Genomic DNA, 16,167 nt, shown 5'->3' with positions numbered 1-16,167 from the left:
AATGGCTGTGTTTACTGAAAACAAAACAACGGGGGTGGGGGGGGGACGGGGGGGCGGAGAGCATCAGGAGCTAATGGATGCTGGGCTGAATACCTGGGGGATGGGTTGATCTGTGCAGCAAACCACCATGGCACTTGCTTACTTACGTAGCAAACCTCCATATCCTGTACCTGTACCCCAGAACTTAAAATAAAATTGAAGAAAACAACAACAAAAGAAGATTTGAAGAGATCGTAACGCTATGGAGATAATTAGGCCTTTGGTAATCAAGAGTAAAATGGAGTTTCCTCAAAAAAATCACCCTTTCATTCCCATTTTATTAGTAAAACACCCACTAAAAATAGAGGAAGTAACTATAAGAGGTTTTCTCTCATCTAGGCAAGATGAATTTTTATAATTGTAAGGTAGCTGCTTACAGAAACTGATTTCCACAAAAAGTACAAAATTTCCCCAGTATTGCACACTTCCCCCCACCCAATAACTGGTTTTTAATTCATGATTTTCCTTCATCACACAGTCATGGAATAAATATTCTTTTCCTTATAAATTAAGTGGATGTAGACTTTGATGTAAGATAACAATGAGGAGAATTATTAATAAAGACAAGATTAAGCTTAATCATTTGCCTTTGGATTTTTATCTTCCACTCTATATTAGTATTTCTAAGAAGAAGCAGATGAGGTCAAAAATATATTATGACTAACATTTACTTTACTTCAAAGGAAAAAGAATTCTTTGTTTCTGTGGAATTGTTGGGCCCCTGTTCAGCATCAATTTCATTCTAATGGGCACTCTTTTCCATCTTGCAAATTACATTTGAATTCCATATATTTTACTTTGATGCATTTCCAAAGGAAGATTCAAATTGTGTTTTTTCTTTTAAGTGTAATATTAAAATCCCATCCTATGCCACTCCTCTAGATGCCTTTTAAAATTTTTTAAAAATCATCAACTTTCTTCTATCTGTGGAGGTTTATTGGGGTAGGGGAGTTGGAACAAGATGAAGGGGCTGCGTTCATTAGAGAATTGTTCCAGGATGAAAAAGCTCCCAGGAATATATAATGTGCTTCAGAAGAATTAAGGAGGAAAAAGCAATGGTTGGAAGGAATCTGATCTTGTGGGTGGCAGACGCACAGGAGAGACTGCTCATGCATGACATGTTTCAGATCTTTTGACACAGTCATGCAAGCAACAGAAAGTTATATGGTTTTTAGTCTTCTAGATAGCAGTGAAATGAGAACGTGGGTGGATCCGGAAAAAAATGAACTTCTCCTTATTTTTTATTTAAATGACTTTTGAGCTAGTTCTAGACTGTGGAAGAGTTGGTAAACCACCCAGTTCATACACACTCATACCACCCTACTCCTCCACACTCACATCAAAGTTGTCCACAAACCTTCCCTAGCCAAATCATCATTCACTCAAATTGCATTGATGCAATTTGACTGATACATGTGGTCATCGTGTTTATGCCCAGGGAAGTTAGATGAAAGAACCCACTATTTGCCTCTAATGAGAAAGTCAGACAAGTAGATTTAAAATGACACACAGAGCCAGAAGTCCACTGACAGGAGCAGGAAGTTAGGAACCAGGCACCTAACCCAGCTGGGGATGAGTGTGCGGGGGCTAAGGAAACCTTCCTAGGAGAGGTAACAGCTGACTGGATTTTGAAGATGGACAGGAGTTGTTCAGGAAAAGGAAGGACATTTCTGGCATTCTCAGCTATGCAATTCCCAGATGTAAGACATGACATGGGAAAATTGTGTTTTGAAAAGAAAGTAGAGACAAACACAAAGAGTCTTGGAGGCTACAGTAATTTTGGACATCATTCTGAGGTTGATGGGAAGCAATAACTAGGATATTTAAGAAGGGAGTCATCTGATTTGCATTAACAGCATTAGTATAGTCTGTCATCTCCTCCCCAAATGACTCGAATCAGGGAAACCAACTAAAGCAATGACAGGGCTGGAGAAGTGAGTGTGAAGACAAAGAAACACACATGATTCAAGAGATATTTATAAGAAAGGGGTGTACCAAATGGGTTGGATGTGGGTAGTGAGACAGCTAAGGCAACCACATAGATGGTTGCACAATTCAGGGGTCAGGAATAGGGGGCTTCATAGAGGAGGAAGTAGGGTGGGGGACAATGGTGGGCACAGTTTAGATGAGATGAGTTCAATCAATGGAACTATCCCATGGGCAATTGGATCTGAAGCTTAGAAGACAAGAAGGGTAGAAAGAAATATTTGGGTGCCATCCAGGGGATAGGAGCAGTCACTGTTGGGGATGAGATGGTCAAGGAGAGATATGGAGCCCACAACATTTACAAGGGACCCTGAGAGAGAGAGAGACTGAGAAGGGCAGATGGGCAGAAATAAACCATGAAAGCTATGTAAAAGCCAAGGCGAGAAATGTGCTTTAGAAATAGAGTGATCTACCATAGAAAAGTAATGAGATCAATATGAAGAAAGGACTTGGCTTTTGTAAGCATGACATCCTTGCGGATCTTGGCAGAGCAGTTGTAGTGGAGTGGTCAGGGTAGAACCCAGACCTCAAAGACTGAAGACCAAATGGAGATGGGAAAGCAGAGAAAGGAACAGCAACTGGAATCTCAAGAGGCAAAAAGGCAAGTAGGAAGAAGGGACAGAAAAAAGGAGGAGATCCAGGCCAAGGCGGGGATGGAGTGAGGTAGAGAGAGAAATTTGAGGTTTTCTTTAAGAGGATACCATCTCCTTCTCTTTCCTGCCCACTGAGAACTCCAGCACTAATCTAATCCAATTCTCAGGTAAAAATAAATAAATAAATAAATAACAGTGTGCATTGTCCAGGAATCAATACACATGGAATGCTTACTGCATGTCAGAAGCTTTATGTATTTTTTTCCCTTTTGTCATCCCAGCAGCTCTACCCCATGGACATTTTTACATTGTCTCACTTTGAACTTCTGAGGATACTAAATCAGGAAGGTTCACTGATTTGCCCAAAGGCCCACTGTAGGTAACGGTGGAGTGGGAATTTGGTTCCAGGTCTTCCTGAATCTAAGGCACTGATGGTAGTGAGAGAGAAGGCCAGCCACTCTACAGCAATTTCACCACCTAGGGTCTGTTTCCTTATATGTGAAATGAAAGCACTGGGCTGGGAGGTCACAATGAGGTACTTGCTTACTCTCTTTGGTGCACCTTGCAGTCAAGACTCAAGAGTTCTACTGAAGAAGCAAACCATTTGGCAAACAAACCATGTGAAAATCCATCTATTTTATTTTGCCACTCTGGCTTCCATCTACATACCTGAGCACACAACTCTATTATTTTCAAACTCTAATTTACGTGTAGGAGGAATTGAGGTGGTTTTAGTACCGTAAGTGGCTAGCTCAGCATGCCGAAGGCCCATTACACTAAACACAAATGCCTTTGTTAGGCAGTTTCAGAGGAGTTTTTCTGGGAAGGGTTTTGTTGTGTTTTGTTCTGTTTTTTGAAACAGGGTGGCACTCTGTCACCCAGGCTGGGGTGCAATACTGCAGCCTTGACCTCCTGGGCTCAAGTGATCCTCCCACCTAAGCCTCCAGTGTAGCTGGAACCACAGGTGTGCACCATGACGCCTGTGGCTAATTTTTTTATTTTTTGTAAAGATAGGGGGTGCGTGTGGGGGGATCTAACCATGTTGCCCAGGCTAGTCTCGAACTCCTGGGTTCAAGCAGTCCTCCCACCTCAGCCTCTCAAAGTGCTGCGATTATAGGCATGAGCCACCATGCCTGTCTGGGAATCTTTTTTCTTCACTTTATATCAGGTTTCTTAATATATATATTTAGATTTTAACTTTTCATGGATATGTGATATACATTTACAATAGTGAACACATCCTAAGCATTCAGCTTGAAAGATTTTCACAAGATGAACACACTGTTGTAACCAGCACTCAAATGGTTGACTCTTTTTGAAAATTATTTGTTCTTTGTTCCCACAGTTATAAAGCTTGCTTGGTAATTCAACTCTCTACCTCACAGTGAATTTAGAAGGGCTAGCTAATTATAGCTTTAAATGTAAAACACTTTGACAAACTTGAAGTAGGTAGAGAGCTGCTTAAATTGATTATAATGTCACATGGTTTCTACTTAAATTATTTCACCTGGGAGAATGTCAAACTGTCCTCATTAGCAGATCATGAAAGAAATGTGTTGGAAATTCACTTTAATGGAGACTTGCGAATTGGCGGCTCATTACCTGAAATATTCCTGTTTAAGTTCTCTGAGTCAGCCTCCTTCTCTTCCTATGCCTTTCTCTGTATTCTCTTTTCTATAGCAATGGGAAACTTTGCATTTGAAAATAATAGTGGTCCCTAAAACCTCCATGTATTATGAGTTGGTCATATATTGGCTGCCACTGATCTCCAGCCACAAGTCATAGATTTCAGGTGTTAATGATGTTTTATGCAAAGTCACATTCAGATTCTAACCATCTCCAAGCATGGACAACCTTTCAGAGTCCGATCTTCTTGTAGGTCATTTCTAGTCTGGAGGAGCATGGTTTGAAACAGCTAAAGTATCCTCTTCTCAGTGTAGAGGGAAGGAAACAGGAAAGCAACTGACATGTTTTGAGGACTCTATTTCCACTACCTTAATGGGCAATGGTGGGGACAGTGAAAGAGCCCTCTGTGACAATGATTCTGATGGTGAAATCTAGAGTCTCAGAGCAAACATCAAGAAGAAAAGTTCATTAAACTGTGCAATATTTTCATCCAAAAAAGTCAACAGCAAATCAGCCATTGTGGGAGAAAGATGTGAAGTGCTGGGGTTCAGAAAAATGATACCTGAGAACATTGCGCTTTGACATGCTGAGCTAAACAAGCAGCGCTAGCATCTCTCTGATTTTCCCACACCTCCTTGTTTATCTGATCCTCTTTCCAGAAGCACCAAGAGGCACTCTTTCTGGACATTTTCTTGTCTGACTAGGAAAAATTCTTTCCAAAACAAATGTCTTGTCTTAAGACCTTCTATGTAGAAATCTCATCAAATAACCAGGAAATATTAACCACTTGAGAAGAGAAGACTCTGGGAGTCATCACCATGCTCAGACAGACTTTTCTTCTAGTTTCCTGAGGGCAGCTCCCAGAGATTACCTAGGAGACTTTATGTAATAAGACAGCCTTTGTTCCTATGCATTCAGTCCCTCACCTTCCTATAACTTGTTCATCCCATCCAGCTTCCAAAGAGAAACATTTACAAAATAATGTCTGCCTCACATGTCCATATGACTCTGGCATGAAGAGAGTATTCGGGCATCAACCATCTGCCCCTCTTTGAGTCTAATGCTTTGTGTATGGCTCTTATGTTCATATGCACTTTTGTAAATTTTGTGTAACTTTCCCTTCTATGAATCTGCCTATTGTAAGTTCATTTTCAGTGAACCTTTGGAGTGAGGAAGGGAAGCTTTTCCTTGGTCCCTACGGATTTGAAGAAAAATAATGCTTCTTGTGGCACATAAAAAGGAGTCTCCTTAATATTATTTACTTACGCTGTTTGTGTCCAATAATTCCAACATGACTGGGAACTGCTGGAATGATTGGTTCCTGTATTAGTCCATTTTCATACTGCTATAAAGAACTACCTGAAACTGGGTAATTTATAAAGAAAAGAGGTTTAATTGACTGACAGTTTCACGGACTGAACAGGAAGCATGGCTAGGAGGCCTCAGGAAACTTACAACCATGGCAGAGGGCCTAGAGGAAGTGAGCACCTTCTTCACATGGCGGCAGGAGAGAGAGAAAGAGAGAGAGAAGGGGAAGGTGCTACACACTTTTAAACAACCAGATCTCAGGATAACTCACTCACTATCATGAAAACAGCAAGGGGGAAGTCAGGCCCCATGATTCAATCACCTCCCACCAGCCCACACATAGGGATTATAATTCAACATGAGATTTCAGTGGGGACACAGAGCCAAACCATATCAGTTCCCTTTCTGATAGTTATTTTGATAAATCTTTTTACATAATCTCTAGGAAATAAATTTTTCTTTTTTTTTTTCTTTTTTTTTGAGATGGAGTCTCCTCTGTCCCCCAGGCTGGAGTGCAGCGGCACGATCTCGGCTCACTGCCAGCTCCGCCTCCCAGGTTCATGCCATTCTCCTGCCTCAACCTTCTGAGTAGCTGGGACTACAGGCGCCTGCCACCACGCCCAGCTAATTTTTTTGTATTTTTAGTTGAGATGGGGTTTCATCGTGTTAGCCAGGCTGGTCTCGATCTCCTGACCTCATGATCTGCCAGCCTTGGCCTCCCAAAGTGCTGGGATTACAGTTGTGAGCCACCGAGCCTGGCAAGGAAATTAATTTTTCTTTACTTGCTACCTGCCTGGAAGATCTAGCACACAATCTAGATTTGTCTTCACTGTAGATAGATAGTTCCCATTCCCAAATTATGTGCCTCCAATCTTTCAAGCTTAGAGATTTACCAGGGGAGTGAAATTTAGCCCAGCTTTGGAAGTTACTAACTTTATTCTCTGTCTTGGAGCAAGCATCTATAGTTAGCAAATTCAGGGTCTATTGTTATTTTTGTTTTGCTTTGCTTTGCCTTTGGAACTGGCTTATGTACTATCTTGGATTCTTACATCACTTGTTATGAATATGTCTTATCTTCTCAAAGAGAATGATAGTTCCCTGAATGTAGAAAGTAAGTCTTATAATTCTTTCTATGCCCAAAGGGCCTTACGCAACATAGTGCTAAAAACTGTTTGTTAATTGGATGGTTGGTAAAGGGAGTAAAAAGCCTAATAGACCATATTAATATTTTTTACATTTAGGAATATGCTACCTGATTTTGAGGTTTTTCAAGCTGAAATTATTGTTGCAGACAATCAATGAATCAACATCCAATAGAGTATCAGAGGCAACAGCACCTTTCCTCTTACAATTCTAATGATAGCTTCAGATGAGGACCATAACCAATTCTGACCCACCCTGGAAGAGCTGAGGCTTTTTGCCCACAAGCAGCTAACAAAGACATCACAAATAAGCTGAATGCCTCCCTACAAAAACATTTTAGATTATATTCTTTCTCTCATTCACCTCGATCAATTTGTACAATCTCAAGAAATCATTTTACATATCTGACAATGAAAATTATTCTCTCAGCAAGTGTAACACCCCTCTTAAGCAATCCACGCAAGTGACATGAATAGAAGGAAATAAGAAAGGTACTTCTGAATGCATGTAAATGAGCAATGTAGGGGCTTCCTTGACCTTCTCAGAGAAGACAGTCTTTATAAATCCTGAAGAGTGGTATTATTAAGTATTTCAAATGCAAAATATGAATATATCTGTTTTGCTAATTAAGATGTCTGTTCAACCAACTACTTGGCATCTCATTTAAATAATTATCTAGTAGAGTATATTGCACTTCCATTTGGTATATTAAGAGTGTTCAGTCAGGAGAAACCCTAGCCTGCTTAGGAAAGTTTGTTAATTAAAAGATTTGAAGATTTAAATAGAGTACCTCCAGCTTTGGGAGAATCCTCAAAGTTAAGTCAGTAGAAGTTATAGCTCTTATTGTTCATCTGGAACTAACAATAAGCTCTGGCAGGCATTTGAACACATCCTCAGACAAATAGAAGTGGCTCCATTGAATAGGCCACTTTAGAATGCCACCTTTGCTATCCTCCCAGAGGTGGACTCTTCCTGCTTCTCCAGGTTTGCTCCTCTCCCCAAGGATCTTTTTCCATTACTGAATCTGAAAACAAAATCAAAAAAAGGTTTTTGGCCCCAGCTGTTCAGCTTATATAATAATGTCTTGCCCAGGTTTGAGGACAGCCTAATTTTCCAGTAAGAGATTAAGAGCCAACTTAATAAAAAGAAAAGAAGAAACTGGATGTCTGTGCTATAATTTGGTTTGAATATTTTGACAACAATCCAATAGCAGGAAATTCCTGAAGGATTTTCAAAGAGTTACCTGTTTTCAAGGTCTGCCATTGAAGGGTCTATGAATCCCCTTTAGCAAGTCTTTCATTCATTTTTATGATGAATGTTTTTTGGAAACTAAATTTAGTTTGGGGAAATAGTTTCAGGCTGGGCACAGTGGCTCATGCCTGTAATCCCAGCACTTTGGGAGGATGAGACAGGAGGATCACTTGAAGCCAGGAGCTTGAGACCATCCTGGGCAAGATAGCATGACCTTATCTCTACAGAATTTTAAAAAATAGGTGGGCATAGTGGCACACACCTGTAGTCTCAGCTACTGAAGAGGCTGAGGCAGAAGGATTGCTTAAGCCCAGGAAATGGAGGCTACAGTGAGCTATGATGGTGCCTCTACACTCTAGACTGGATGACAGAGCAAGACACTGTCTCTTAAAAAAAAAAAAAAAGAAGAAGAAGAAAGAAAGAAAGAAAAATTATTTCAAGAAATCAAAACATGTTTTCAGTGCACCAGAAGGAATTCATGCATTGAGTAAGCACTCACCAAATGCCTACTCACAAGGAATGCAGAGATGAACAACCCAAGCCCTGCTCCTTGGCAGCTCAGTCTAATGGGACCACAAGCACAGAAACATAAATAAAAATACAACACAGGATGCAAGTACTATGCCACGTGTTGAATAGACCCTTCTAGATAAGCTAGAGGAAATTGACTAGGCTCTTCAGAAAAACTGTTTAGAATACTTCTGTAAAACAGGCTGGGTGTGGTGGCTTATGCCTGTAATCCCAGCAGTTTGGGAGTCCGAGGCGGGAGGATCACTTGAGGTCAGGAGTTCAAGACCAGCCTGACCAACATGGTGAAACCTCATCTCCACTAAAAATACAAAAATTAGCTGAGTGTGGTGGTGTACATCTGTAGTCCCAGCTACTTGGGAGGCTGAGGCAGGAGAGTCGCTTGAACCTGGAAGGCAGAGGTTGCAGTGAGATCACACCACTGCACTGCAGCCTGGGCAACAGAGCGACACTCTGTCTATAAAAAAAAAAAAAAAAAAAAAAAAAGTTCTGTAATACGAACTATCTCTTTTATTAGAAGTTCACATTTTAAGCTTTAAAAAAAACAGCTGAGATGTACACATCATTCTAAAAAAGTAAAGCATGTGCTTCTGGCTTCCAGTCTTCATACAACTTCCTGCTGATATGACAGAGAACTTAGTAATTAGATTTGCTTCCTATATCAGCAATTAGGCAGTTGTCTTCTAAAGAAGACTTCTTTAACTTTTCTTATGGAACCATTAAACTTAAAAATCCTTCTGGACTGGGCGCTGTGGCTCATGCCTATAATCCCAGCACTTTCAGAGGCTGAGGCAGGTGGATCACTTGAAGTCAGGAGTTCGAGACCAGTCTCGCCAACATGGTGAAACCTCAGCTCTACTAAAAATATAACAATTAATTGGATGTGGTGGCACACACCTGTGATCCCAGCTACTCGGGAGGCTGAGGCAGGAGAACTGCTTGAACCTGGGAGGTGGAGGTTGCAGTGAGCCGAGATCACACCATTGCACTCCAGCCTGGGCAACAGAGCAAACTGGCAACAGAGCAGCCTGGGCTCCTTTACATTTGAGTCAGCAACCACATACTTTTTTCTCATTGTTTTATAATCCGAGGTTCTCTTGGGCATGACTTAGATTGTGTTGGCGCTGGGATGCACACTTTATAACACTGGTGCCCCTGAAAGCATCTTAGACATCATCGGAGTTACTGACTCCCAGCAAACTCTTATGCTATCCTTCATAAGACCCCCTTGCTTTCTCCTCATTCACCCTCTTCTAGGACTTCTTCCCACACTCATTTGATTCACTTTCTTGCCATCTCTTTTTTCTTATCTTTTTTTTTCTCTTTAGGTATTGCCTAACTCTGTTAAGATAGCGCAGCACTAACTTAGTACCCTCTAACGGCTCTGTTAAGACCCACATTCCTCCAAACTTGGATGAGGTTGACGAGTTTCCCAGGATGTCTTCTGCTGCGGGGCCCTGTTAGGGAGACTGCTGGCCTCCAGTGGGTTCAATCTAATCATTTCCTATTTATTAGTTATATTGATTACCACCCCCAGAGGAGTGACAGAAATCCTGGCACAGATATTAACTCCAAAATACAGAACAAATTTCATCTGCCAAAAGCTATTTCAAACACTGTTCAAAAGATTAAAGAAAGGCCAGGACAGCTTCACCCTTCATTTTTTGTCTGACCTATTTCTACCTTCCCTGTCTGAATTGTTAACAATGTTCTGTATTATTTTTCAAGACAGGCATCCTAGCCAAAAAAAAAAAAAAGTTTCTTTATGAACATTTTTATTGGATTGAGCCAGGGCAAGCCTCTTAAAACTTGCCTGTAGGGAGCTCCTGGGTGCCAGGGGTGCTGGTGAGAGCACTTCTGGCTGAGTGAATGTCCAAACACATGCACCAAGCCTTCCTGCTCCTCTGCATTTGTTTGTTTGTTTGTTTTGAGACAGAGTTTCGCTCTTGTAGCCCAGGCTGGAGTGCGATGGCGCTATCTTGTCTCACTGCAACCTCCGCCTCCTGAGTTCAAGCAATTCTCCTTCCTGAGCCTCCCAAGTAGCCGGGATTACAGGCACCCACCACACGCCCAGCTAGTTTTTTGTATTTTTAGTAGAGACGAGGGTTCACCATGTTGGCCAGGCTGGTCTTGAACTCCTGATCTCAGGTGATCCACCTGCCTCAGCCTCCCAAAGTGCTGGGATTACAGACATGAGCCACTGCACCCGGCCCTCCTCCACCTTTTATGCAGACTCTACCCAGCCCATTTCTTACCCAGTAGATCTAATTTATAGCATTTGATTTTCTAAGAATGGCACTATAGACAATTCAGACTTATCTATCAAGCCATCTTCAAGGGAGCTGTAGTTGCCAGTTGAAAGAGAAAACTATGGTTAGTCTGATTTCATGACTTTGATTTCTTTTGTCAAGCAGTCAACCAATATTTATTGAGCACTGGACCAAATTCCAGGTGCAGTGTTGGGCACCAGGGAGTACTGGAGCAGATAAGATAGCAGGAATGCCTGCCTTTGTGAGGTGTACTGTCAGGCCTCTGCCTCCCTTTCTACAATCATCTCTCCATATGGGTGTGGAATTAAAGAGGACAGTATTTGCTCAAAGTCATTCATCAAATGAAAAAGGCAGTGCTATCCTATGATTACAGCAGTGCTCTGGAGGGCTTAGGTAATATTAAGCAAAGTGAATTTCCCTTTATACCACTGCAATGACAGTAAGTGCCTATGGAAATGGCCGCTTACCAAGTCAGTAATAACGTTTATAAAATACGTTGCAGATTTTGGAAGACAGCCACTAGGTGAATTGCAAAATGTAAAACTTTTCTCTATTTGCCTACCCAATTCATCTGAAAATTGAATGCTACTCCTTAAGGAAAAACAGAAACTAGCCATTTGAACTGGGTTGCTTATTATGGACTGCTTTACGAGTGTAGCAGTTATTGACAAAAAAGCATAGTCGCCCTCCAGAGAGCCAGCAATCAGCGTGGATGCACTCTACATACAGGCAGGGCTTTTGAATTCCAGTTATGACCTGTGTTAACTCTCACTAATCCAAGGCAGGGATGCTATACAGCAGAGATTCACAACTGGTCATGTTCTATTAAATTATACAATAGATTAGCATTCTAGTCACACCATAATTGTATGAAAAGCCAGCCCCAAGACCAACAGCACCCCACATTCATTAAGAAGTCTTTGATACAAGGAAACACACACACACACACACACACACACACAGAGAGAGACAGACAGACAGACACAGTCTACATGAAGCCGAGTAACCAAACAAAAATCAACAAATTTGGTCTACTGCCCAGATATCTTGAAAGTTGATGCTCTGCATCAAGTCCCCAAAACATCAAGTTGAATGGGTTTTTACATTTTTTCCAACTAGGCTTTTTGGCATCAAATGATTGAAATTAAACTTTCTTCCATCACACCAAAAGAGAGCATTGATTCAGAGGCAGGAATGGATCCAACACATTTGGAATAATATCACATGGAGGGAAAAAAACCAATGGCATGCTTTTTTCTAATAAGTAATTGTTCTTTCCGTGGCAACAAGTTTATTTTATGGATTTTTTCAGAACGTATCACAGAGGTTAATCCATTGTCACATTCTTGGAAGCTTTGAAAATCTACCAAAGCTTACATTTAGTTTACATTTAGTTTACATTAAAGGAGGGGTTTGAAAAAATGATGGTTTCTCTCCTTTAGCTTTCATGGTCTCAAATCTTTTCTATGACGAGATAAAAGGAATAGATGACAAATACACATGCCTTCGGTGCCTTTTTTGAACATATCTATTATATTCAATTGACTCTCTGTTGGCATAAACCATGAACTCATCCTTTTTTTTTTCTTTTTTAAGGCTAGTCAAGTGAAGTAGTGGGAATGGAGAAGGAGCAAAGAAATCTGTAACTGGTTGTGATTAATTAGTTGCAAACACCACTGCATTCAGGCCACCCCATGAACTATTTCTTATTTGAGTTATAATGTAGGATATTGTACTCATCAAAACTATCAACTATTAATAAAATCAATGAAAACATTAAATGAGCAGCTTACCCTCATATACAGTACTGTGCCTTCCACAGTTCAGTAAATTAAAAGCAAACTAATGTGGAGGGTACTGGGAGTGTGGAATCTGGGACATGACTGGTTACAAGCTGAGGGCTGGTCAGGATGAGGGAGGAAGAAGAAGAAATAGGGCAGGTAGAAGCCATCAATTACTGTCTCTTTGTCTTTCTCATGAGAGGCGAGGTGACAGTGGATTAGTTAGAATACGGGCCACACAGTTGAACTAAAAAGAACCCTACATATAAAAGCTCAACAGACAAAAGTGTATTTTCTCTCCTAATAGTCTGAAAGCAGGGATGGGGGTAGAATGGTAGAAAGCCTTGCTCAAAGGATGATCAGGGCCCCAGTTTCTTTCTGTCTATGCTCTGATGTCCGCTGGAGCATTGTCATGGCTGGGCCATTGCCACAGCCACGGTTGGGCTGTGGGACTGGAAAGAAAGGAAGGAAAGGACAAGCAGGTATCTTTTTTTTTTAAGTGGCTTTATTAAGATATAAATCCCATACCATACAATTCATCCATTTAAAGTGTACAAGTCAACAGATTTTAGTATTACATTATTAATATTTTTAACTGTGGTAAAATATATGTAACACAAATTTTGTCATTTTAACCATTTTTAAGTGTACAATTCAGTGGCAGTAATTACATCTACAATGCTGTACAACCATCACTACTACCTATTTCCAAAACTTTTCATCAACGAGCAGTTTTAAACAAGTGATACGGATGTTGTCCATGTTCCTTCCCTTCCGCTTCCCATTGCTGCTTGTACCTGAATAAATCTGGAGTTCTGAGTGCAAGGAAGAATTGGTGGGTGGAGGGTTGGGGGCGGTGACAAATGGGCAGACAACCAACTTTGCATTGGTTGTAACATTTTCCAGGGTAAGTCTCCACTCAGCATATGAGTTTTGCATAGTGGGACGGAAAAGGGGTGATGTTTTAATAACAATGACTTTTCCACATTCTGGGAAGTGACAAAGAATTATGTTGGAGAGTGTCTGTTCTTTAGTTTTAGAGAACACTGTTTAGCCTTTCTGGTTTCTTCTTGAGAAGATGAAGAACTGGGTCCTTGAGTCTAGAGTAAGAGTAATTATGAAAAAAGAATCTGTTCTGATTTACAGAGGGCCCAGTCACACAGCAGCAGGAAGGGCCCAAGGAGGGAGGACCGAGAAACTCCAAGCAGGGACTTCTGACATTAGCTTTCACGTTTTCCTTTTCTACATTGAGATGCCCTTATAGTAGGTGGCATCAAGCGTTCAGTAAATCTTGTCAACTGCATCCCAATGCCAGCTTTGTTCTGCAATGCTTTGGGTAAAAACAGGAGTGCAGGAGTAGGTTAAGAAAAACAGGCTGCAAAAACAATTTAGGATACCAAGAAATGATCAGTCCATATAGGCAGATCCATGGAGACAGAAAGTAAATAGTAATTGCTGGGGGCTGGAGGATTGGGAAGAAATGGGTAGTGACTTCCAATGGGTGTAGGGTTTTTTATTTTTTGAGGTGAAGGAAATGTTCTAAAATTAGACAGTAATGATGATTGCACAACTCTGTAAATATACTAAAGATCACTAGTTGTACGCTTAAATCAGGCAAATTTTATGGTATCTAAATTATATTTCAATGAGTTTTTTTTTTTTTTAATTTTTAAAAATAGAGACAAGGTATCATTATGTTGCCCAGCCTGGTCTCAAACTCCTGGGCGCAAGTGATCCTCCCACCTCAGCCTCCCAAAGTGCTGGGATTACAGGTGTAGCCACCATGCCCAGCCTCAATGAAGCTGTTTTTTTAACAAAGTGATCATTAGCACAACAGCCTGGAGCAGGAAGTAACCAGCAGCTCTGAGCTATGCTGCTAAGATAGGGCAGTGGTGCTCAAGGACGCCTTTGAAATGCTAGTGCAGGTCTGTGCTTTCCAAGGTTATGTAAGGTGAAGGAATAGGTTATATTATTTGAATATTAAAGGAGATATTGACCCCAAAGTTTGGATAGCTTGGGGCTATTGGTTATAATAACAATTGAGACCTTTCTCTACTCTGCTGTTTATGGTCCCTCAACTGCTTTCTTGGTTCCTAAGCTCTCACAAACAGAAAACTACACACACACACACACACACCACACGTTGCTTCTAATAGCGTTGTATCCTCTTCCCTTCTGAGGACAGCAGAAAGGAGTGAATGCTAGAGCCAGGGTCCTCATGGAGCTGCACAACTAACAAGCCCTGGAACTCCCTACTGCCACTTCCACCTCCAGCTTTACCATATCAGACTGAATGCTTCTCACTGAGAGGCAGAATGGCACGGTGGGGAAACATGGGCCCTGAAGCCAGACTACCAGGGTTCACGTCAAATCCCAGACCTCCAAGTTACTAGCTATAACACCTAGGGCAAGTTATGTAGCCCCTCCATACTTCAGTTTACCCCTTGAATGATTGGGCTAATATTCATACCAACATATAGCAGTGTTGTGAGAATAAAATGAATTTGTAAATATAAAACATTTAGAACTGAACCTAGCAAATAGCAGGCATACTAATAATAAGCACTGGGTATTACTGGTATTATTATATTATTTATAGTAGTATGCAATTTATAATATTCTGCAATCTCCAGTGAATTTGTGAAGCATAAACGTAGGAATCAGTTGACTTTTGCAAATTGAAGAGGAAGAGAGTAGGTAAACTCATGGGTTATTTAGGACTATGGGTGGTACATGCTAGACAGTGATTTGCAAGAGACCAAAGAGGCCTATCTAGTCCCTAGTTGGGCGCAAGGGACAACAGGGAGCCAGCTTGTGCTGCTTCGCTCACATCCCTGGAGAAAATCAGAACCAAAAACAAACAAACAATAACTCTCTTTTGGTCCTCTACCCAACCCTGTTTGATAAGAGCCATTAATTTATGTTTGTGTCACTTGGGACTCTTTGGGTTGCAAGTATCAGGAGTCCCAAATCAAACTGGCTTAAGCAATTAACAACAACAACAAAGACTTTGTTTTATGTAACTGACAATCTGAGGAAAAGTGCAAACTCAGGGTGAAAGTCAGCTTAATACCAGGGCCAATTAAGATCACTAAGACTCAGTCTCCCCAGAAACCCACACTCCACCCCATTCACCTTTCTGTGTTGTTTCCTTCCTGTTACATCTTTTCCTTGTGGCAAGATGGCAACAGCACCTCTGCTTCACCCTACTCCATTCTCCTATGTACAAATCCAGTGAGAAAAAAAAATGCAACCTAATTAAGTCTTGCTGAAAGCATCCTTGCACCTCACTGGCTCTGACCAGGTCCCATGACTGTCACTGAACTAACCTTGGTAGCCAAGTGGAGGACTTACTTTGGATTGGCTGGAATCTCATTCTGAGGGTGCAGGGATGGAGTCAACACCATATGAACCACCTGAGCTCAGAGTGGGAAGGGGATGGTTTCCCAGGAGGGATTTGGGATTCTATTTTACGGGTCGTGTGTCCTGGTATTCTGTTATACTCTGCTCTGCTCACAGGCTCTCTTCCAAACCCTACTGTTTTATCTTAGAAGCAGGACAAAGCTGACAGGGAGAGAAATATTTCAGAATTAGAAGTACCTGTGTTGTATGTAAGGAGGAGGGGACATAGCCAGGGAGAGG

Source organism: Homo sapiens, chromosome 6 (genome assembly GCF_000001405.40).
Source record: "Homo sapiens chromosome 6, GRCh38.p14 Primary Assembly".
NCBI classification, from domain to species: domain Eukaryota; kingdom Metazoa; phylum Chordata; class Mammalia; order Primates; family Hominidae; genus Homo; species Homo sapiens.
Note: the sequence above shows the minus strand (reverse complement) of the source record.